Genomic DNA, 8,652 nt, shown 5'->3' with positions numbered 1-8,652 from the left:
TTGAAGATGACATGATCTCATATAGAGAAAATTCTAAAGGCTCCAATTAAAAACTGTTAAAATTAAGAAACAAGCAAATTTGCAGAACACATAATTAACATTAAAAAAAACCTGTTACGTTTTTATATACTAATAGTTGAGTATCCCAGAAAGAAATTAACAAAACAATCTCGGGCCGGGCACAGTGGCTCACGCCTGTAATCCCAGCACTTTGGGAGTCTGAGGTGGGCAGATCACAAGGTCAAGAGATCGAGACCATCTTGGCTAACACGGAGAAACCCTGTCTCTACTAAAAATAGAAAAAATTAGCTGGGCGTGGTGGCGGGAGGCTGAGGCAGGAGATTGGCGTGAACCCGGGAGGCAGAGCTTGCAGTGAGCCAAGATCACACCACTGCACTCCAGCCTGGGCGACAGAGTGAGAGTCCGTCTGAAAGAACACAATCTCATTTACAATACCATCAAAAAATTAACTACTTAGGAAGAAATTTAAATAAGACAGTAAAATTTGTATATACCAAAAACTATAAAACACTGATGAAAGAATTTGAAGAAGATACATATCCCTATTACTCAGCGCGATCTATAGATATAATGCAACCCCATCAAAATTTCAATGACATTTTTCAAAGAAATGGAAAAAAGCAGTTGTAAAATTTTTATGCAACCTCAAATGACCCCAGTCAAAACATCCTTCAGCAGAAAAAACAAAAGTGGAAGCATCACATTACCTTATTCCAAACTAAATTATAAAGCTATAGTAATCAAAATAGTATGCTACTGGCATAAAAACAGACATGTAGGCCAAGGGAACAGAATAGAGAGCATAGAAAGAAATAAATCCATGACTTTACAATCAATTGATCTCTAGCATTGGTGCCAAGAGTACACAATGATAAAATTTAGTCTCTTTATTAAATGGTGTTGGGAAAACTGGATATCCACATGCAGAAGAATGAAACTGAACCCTTATCTCACTGTACATACAAAAATTGTCTCAAAATGGATGAAAGACCTCAACATAGGACCAATATTGTAAGACTCTTAGATATAAATATCAGAGAAAAGCTCCTTGATACTGGTATTGGTAATAAATTTTCAGATTTGATACCAAAAGTATAGACAACAAAAGCAAAAATAGACAAATGGGAGTAAATCAAACTAAAAGCTTCAGCACAGCAAAGGAGACAACCAATACAATGAAAAGATAACCTAAAGAATGGGAGAAAATATTTACACACTATACATCTGATAAGAAGTTAATATCCAAATAAATTAGGAACTCAGACAATTCCAAAGGATCTTGTATTAGTCTGTTTTCATGATGCTGATAAAGACATACCAGAGACTGGGTAATTTATAAAGAAAAAGGTTTGGCCAGACACGGTGGCTCACGCCTGTAATCCCAGCACTTTGGGAGGCCGAGGCAGGCAGATCATGAGGTCAGGAGATTGAGATCATCCTGGCTAACATGGTGAAATCCTGTCTCTATTAAAAATACAAAAAATTAGCCAGGTGTGGTGGTGGGTGCCTGTAGTCCCAGCTACTTGGGAGGCTGAGGCAGAAGAATGGCGTGAACCTTGGAGGTGGAGCTTGCAGTGAGCAGAGATCGCGCCACTGCACTCCAGCCTGGGTGACAGAGCCAGACTCCATCTCCAAAAAAAAAAAGAGGTTTAATGGATTCACAGTTCCACGTAGCTGGGGAGGCCTCACAATCACAGTGGAAGGTGAAAGTCATGTCTTACATGACAGCCAGCAAGACAGGATGAAAGCCAAGCAAAAGGGGAAACCCGTTATAAAGCAATCAGATCTCATGAGACTTATTTACTACCACGGGAACAGTATGGGAGAAACTGCCCCCATGATTCAATTGTCTTCCACCAGGTCCCTCCCACAACATGTGGGAATTATGGGAACTACAATTCAAGAGGAGATTTGGGTAGGGACACAGCCGAATCATATCATTCTGCCCCAGCTCCTCCCAAATTTCATGTCTTCACATTTGAAAACAAATTATGCCTTCCCAACAGTCCCTCAACATCTTAACTAATTTCAGTATTAACTCAAAAGTCCACAGTCCAAAGTCTTATCTGAGACAAGGCAAGTCCCTTCCAGCTATGAACTCATAAAGTTAAAAGCAAGTTAGTTACTTTCCAGATACAATGGAGGTATAGGGAGCAGGTAAACATACCTGTTCCAAATGGGTGAATTTGGCCAAAACAAAGGGGCTACAGGCCCCAAGTCCAAAGTCCAGCAGGCCTGTCAAATCTTAAAGCTCCAAAATGAACTCCTTTGACTCCATGTCTCACATCCAGGTCACACTTATGCAAGAGGTGGGCTCCCATGGCCTTGGGCAGCTCCACCCCTGTGGCTTTGCAGGACATAGCCCCCCTCTTGGTTGCTTTCATGGACTGGCATTGTCTGTAGCCTTCCTGTGTGCATGATCAAGCTTTTGGTGGCTGTACCATTCTGGGGTCCGGAGGACAGTGGCCTTCTTCTCACAGCTCCAGTAGGCAGTACCTCAGTGGGGACTCTGTGTGGGGGCTTCAACCCCATATTTCCCTTCTGCACTGTCCTAGCAGAGGTTTTCCATTAGGGCACCACCTCTGCAGCAAAATTCTTTCTGGACATCTAGGAGTTTCCATACATCCTCTGAAATCTAGGCAGAGATTCCCAAACCTCAATTCTTGACTTCTGTGCACCCACAGGCTCAGCACCATGTGAAACTGCCAAGGTTTGGGGCTTGCACCACCTGAATCCACAGTCCAAGCTGTACCTTGGACCCTTTTAGCCATGGCTACAGTAGCTGGGATGCAGGGCATCAAGTCACTAGGTGGCAAACAGCAGGGGGCCCCTGAAACCAGCCCAGGAAACCATTTTTTCCTTTTAGGCCTCTTGGCCTGTAATGGGAGGGACTGCTGCAAAGGTCTCTGACATGTCCTGGAGATATTTTCCCCATTGTCTTGGTGATGAACATTTGGGTCCTTGTTGCTTATGCAAATTTCTGCAGCCGGCTTGAATTTCTCCTCAGAAAATTCGTTTTTCTTTTCTATCACATCATTTGGCTGCAAATTTTCCAAAGTTTTATGCTGTTTCCTTTTAAAACTGAATGCTTTTAACAGCACCCAAGTCACCTCTTGAGTGCTTTGCTGCTTAGAAATTTATTCTGCCAGCTACCCTAAATCATCTCCCTCAAGTTCAAAGTTCCACACATCTCCAGGGCAGGAGCAAAATGCTGCCAGTCTCTTTGCTAAAACATAGCAAGATTTTCCTTGACTCCAGTTCCCAACAAGTTCCTCATCACTATCTGAGACAACCTCAGCCTGAATTTCATTGTCCATATCATTATTAGCATTTTGGTCAAAGCTAGTCAACAAATCTCTAGGGAGTTCCAAACTTTTTCACATTTTTCTGTCTTTTTCTGAGCCCTCCAAACTGTTCCAACCCCTGCCTGTTACCCAGTTCCGAAGTTGGTTCCACATTTTTGGATAACTTTACAGCAGCACCCCACTCTACCAGTACCAATTTACTGTATTCATCTGTTTGCATGCTGCTGATAAAGGCATACCAAAGACTGTGTGATTTATAAAGAAAAAGAGGTTTAATGGACTCACAGTTCCATGAGGCTGGGGAGGCCTTACTTATGGTGGGAGGCTAAAGGCACATATTACACAGCAGCAGGCAAGACAGAATGAAAGCCAAGTGAAAAAGGAAATCCCTTATAAAACAATCGGATCTTGTGAGGCTTATTTACTACCACAAAAACAGTATGGGGAAAACCGCTCCCATGATTCAACTATCTCCTACTGGGTCCCTCCCATAACACATGGGAATTATGGGAGCTACAATTCAACATGCGATTTGGGTGGGGATGCAGCCAAAGCATATCAGACCTGAAGAGATACATTTCTAAAGGACATACGATTGACAATAGGTATATATTAAGAAAAAGATGTTTGCCATCACTAATCAGCAGGAAAATGCACAATGAGATATCACCTCGCATCTATTAGGATGGCTTTTATAACAGTAAAAAGGTAACAAATGTTGCTGAGGATATTGAGAAACAGAAACCCTTGTGCTTAGTTGATAGTTGATGGGAATGTAAATTGGTACAGCCATTACAGACAACAGTATGTAGTTTCCTCAAAAAATTAAAAATGGAACTCCCATATAATCCAGCAATCTCACATCTGGGTATATATCCAAAGTAAAGAAAATCACTATCTCAGAGAGATATATATACTTACATGTTTATTACAGTGTTATTTACACAGCCAAGGTATGGAAACTACCTGTGTCCATTGACAGATGAATGGATGTTTTAAATGTATTACACACACACACACACACAGACACACACACATATGTAATGGAATATCATTTAGCCTTTAAAAATGAGGAAATACTGCCATTTGTAACGAGATGGATAAACCTGGAGTTTATTATGGTAAGTAAAATAAGCCAGGAACAGATGCAAAAAAATCCTGCATGATTTCACTTATATGCATACTAAGAAAATGTCAAACTCATGGTAAGAGAGTAAAATAGTGCTTACTAGGGCCTGGGAGTTGGGGGAAAAGAAAAAATGTTTGTCAGAAAGTACAAACTTTCAGTTATAAGATGAATAAGTTCTGGAGATCTAATGTACAGCATAGTGACTAAAGTCAATAATAATGTATACTTGAAATTTGCTGAAAGAGTAGATCTCAAGTGTTCTCCACCACACAAACACAAATAAAAAGGTAGCCAGGTGAGGTGATGAATATGTTAGCTTGATTGTGGTAATCATCACTTCACAATGTATATGTATATCAAAATATCACACTGCATACCTTAACTATATACAATTTTTCTTTGTTAATCAATAAAACTGGCAAAAATATCTTTTACATGTTGCCTTGACTCCATTTCTTATTTTGTCAAAATAGATAGTCCTCACTGTTTGCATAAGTTTAGAAACTTGTGCTACATCCAGAAGTCAGGAGTGCGGTAGGGTGAACTAAGTTACTGATTCTTTAGGAACCTTAGGGTGTGAGGTGGGACTGGAGTTCAAGGTCTAGGAGCTCAGTCTGGTCTTGAGCAGCTTCTTTTTTATTTTGTTTTGTTTTGCTTTGAGACTGGGTCTCACATTCTTGCCCAGGCTGGAGTGCAGTGGCAAAATCTGGGCTCTCTGTAACCTCCACCTCCCGGGCTCAAGCAATCCTCTCACCTCAGCCTCCCATGTAACGGGAACCACAGGCATGTGCCACTATGGCTAGCGAATTTTTTTGTATTTTTGGTAGAGATGGGGTTTCCCTTGCTGCCCAGGCTGGTCCTGAACTCCTGAGCTCAGGTGATCCACCCACCTTGGCCTCCCATAGTGCTGGGATTACAGGTATGAGCCACCATGCCTGGCCATGAGCAGCCTCTTCTGATATCCCTAGTGTGTTCTGTACACATTTTCTTTGTCTGAATGCGCCTTTCCTTTCTCTCTATTGGTCTACAGATTTTTTCCTTCTTTAGGATATTATTAACTTGAATTCAAATTTTTATCAAAAATTGGACCTAGCTCTTTTTATTCATATTTTCCTGCTATATTTTTTACACTAATTTATTTTCGATAGGTTTTATTGAGTGTTTTTTTGACACTTAAAAATTTTACCTGACAATCTTAACCTTTGATTTATGTAATTATTGTTCCATTATGAGTTATTTCTGTCATCTCATTTTATGATTTTTCATACTTTCTTTACTGTTTATTTTTTCCTATTGTACCTTTCACTGTATAGATCAAATCTTTTTCTATTTGTTTGAAATCTGGAAATTTTTAACATTGTAATGGTGGTTATATCATTATTTATGTTAATTTTCTCAATTTCTGATATGTGTCAAAATTAATATCATCTCAGCAAACAAGATAAGTGCTCTAGCTTCCTCTTGCCACCTCTGGTTTGCTTTCTCTGTTACGACAGCACTTTGTCTAAGGGGGTGCTTTCTGAAGTTTACTCGGGGTTGTTTTCAATATGTTATGTTTTCATTTATTTTTTAGAGTATGATAAACACCACTACCATTGATTCTGGAACCCTCAATTCTAACACCACGGTGTATTTCTCTTCTTAGTGGAGTATGACCTCTAAGCATTTTCAAAGGGATTTATTTGAAATAAAACTTTTGAGGCCTTACTTTTTAATGTCTTTTTCTGGGCTTTCATATTTAAAAGATTGTGGCTGCAAATAATTCAAGGATTAAAATTGGTTTCCTTTTAATCCTTGAAAAATATTACTTCATTTTATTCTTGTCTCCAGCATTGCTGTTGGAAAGGCTGACACCAATCAAAACCAATTTTTCCCTAAAGGATGATCTGTCTTCTCATCATTTTGACAGGATGTAACAAAACAAAGGAGTCTTCAATGTTCTGAGTATAAATCATTTTGCAATTATAAACTTAACTTAATATTAATGCAATACAAAAAGAATTAAAACCTTCTTGAGACATGCAAGTGCACAGGAAAATTAAGTATCATGCACTCATTCAGGAAGAAAAGGTGCAAAAGAAATTTAATGAAAGAGATGGTCGTTAGATGCAAGTGTGGCTGAATGTAGGGATGCGATGCTGACACGTGGCAGCAGGCCTGGCAAGCTGTCTATCCCAATTCAACTACTTCAGAAAGAGAAGAATATTAACTAGGCTATCTTGGTGATGTGCTGAAAAAAGTGCTGTGTTTCCTTTTTAATCATTCAAAACAAAGGTAGTAAAATTCCCGGGAAATAAGAAATAATGCATCATAAATGTATAAAAGTTGAGGAAAATACTATATTTTTATGAATTTAAAATGCCATCTCATTTAGATTGTTATGTCTTTTCAGAAGTGCTTTAAAATTGATGGCACATAGTAAAAAATGGCATAAATTCCAACAATTAATGGAAAAACATTAATCCATCTTCTTGAGTCTTGGAACCAGGATTCTTTTGGGAGGCTTCGGTGTATCTGTGTATCATTTCATTGCCTTCACACAAATCAAATCACGCCACCTGCGACTGTGGTTTGAAAAAAAAAGAAAACATAATAATGATGCTGTCAATTCACTTGAGATTCCATGATCAAAATTAACCTACGAACAAAGCACAGACTTTATTATAATTACAAAATAGGATGTAATTTACATAAAATGTGAAAATATAAGCATAGAATGAAATTTGATACAAGTCGAAAGCTATGACAGGGACTGTTGGAGGGGAGGGAAGTTGTACACTAATCTCCACATCCTACTGAGCCAATCAGTGGTGTTCAAATTGGATGGACCATATATTATCTAAACAGTATATTATTTAAGCAAAGAATTAAGCACTGTAAGTATATTATTTAGAGAAAGCAAATTTTTTAAAAATCCCATAAAATTATATATTAAAGACTAAATTGGAAATATAGTTTTAGAAGAAGAAAGTAGGGTAAATGAGCTATATTCTCTACCGTTTATAAAAAGTCAAGGGATATTACTTAAAATTGTTAAAACAAAATTAGGTGATTGTATAATATTATTTACAGTTCAAGAGAATAGCATATAGTAAAAAAAGAAAATGATAAACCTTGCCTAACTCTGAAAAACAGGACCAAGGTCTATGGAAGGAAAAAAAAAGTTTCTGGTTTTCACTGGTTTTTTGCCCATCAAACTGTTTGAATGATTTTCAATGCACATGTGTTGGTTTAATTTTAAAATGTTCTTACTTACAGATCCCCTTGAATTACGTGTAAAATTAGGTTTCCTTTAGTCAATGGTGTATGAAAAGTAATCAACTCATCTAATTGAAGTTAGACATTAATAAATAATAAATTGGGGAGAACATAAATATACTCATTAAAAACAACCAGAACATAGCACTTGGCTGTATGTTCTGCTTATCTAGGAAGTGGAATTCTTAAAATTAAAACAAAATAATAAGGAGCTTCACATTTTCTTTTTCTTCTTTTTTTTTTTTTTTTTTTTGAGATGGAGTCTTGCTCTGTCGCCCAGGCTGGAGTGCAGTGGCACAATCTTGGCTCACTGCAACCTTCACCTCCCGGGTTCAAGCGATTCTCCTGCCTCAGCCTCCCGAGTAGCTGGGACTACATGTGCGCATCACCACGCCCAGCTAATTTTTGTATTTTTAGTAGAGACGGGGTTTCACCAGATTGGACAGGATGGTCTCGATCTCTTGACCTTGTGATCCACCTGCCTCGGCCTCCCAACGAGCTGGGATTACAGGCATGAGCCACTGCACTTGGTCGGAGTTTCACATTTTCTGAAAAATGTTGGAAATAAAAATGCAAGTGTTTCACTTAGATAAAGCTCTCATAATCACTGGTAGACTAAAGTCAATTTAGATTACCATTTATATTTTCAAATTTATAATATGACCAATATTGCCATCAAAATGTTCAGGCACAGAATGGTTTAAAGTAGCTGTCTTATTATTTCTCAATATTCTCTTTTCTTCTATGATTGGCATCACCAATCATGGTTGGAGCATCTTTTTTTTATTTTATTTTTTATTTTATTTTATTTATTTATTTTGAGACGGAGTCTCACTGTGTTGCCCAGGCTGGAGTGCAGTGGCGTGATCTCGGCTGACTGCAAGCTCCACCTCCCAGGTTCTCACCATTCTCCTGCCTCAGCCTCCCGAGTAGCTGGCA

The 8,652-nt window shown here is 38.5% G+C and overlaps 1 long non-coding RNA gene across 1 annotated transcript; it reads right to left on the bottom strand.

Moving 5' to 3' along the window:
- Positions 1 to 6,774: 6,774 nt before the first annotated feature.
- LOC105379434 (uncharacterized) lies at positions 6,775 to 8,187 on the bottom strand. Its single transcript, XR_950632.1, has 2 exons — positions 8,148 to 8,187; positions 6,775 to 7,019 (listed from the first exon to the last, which is right to left on the bottom strand). It is a non-coding gene; the product is annotated as an uncharacterized LOC105379434 (long non-coding RNA).
- Positions 8,188 to 8,652: the final 465 nt, after the last annotated feature.

Source organism: Homo sapiens, chromosome 9 (genome assembly GCF_000001405.40).
Source record: "Homo sapiens chromosome 9, GRCh38.p14 Primary Assembly".
Taxonomy (NCBI): Eukaryota; Metazoa; Chordata; class Mammalia; order Primates; family Hominidae; genus Homo; species Homo sapiens.
This window is presented reverse-complemented; position numbering and strand designations above follow the sequence as displayed.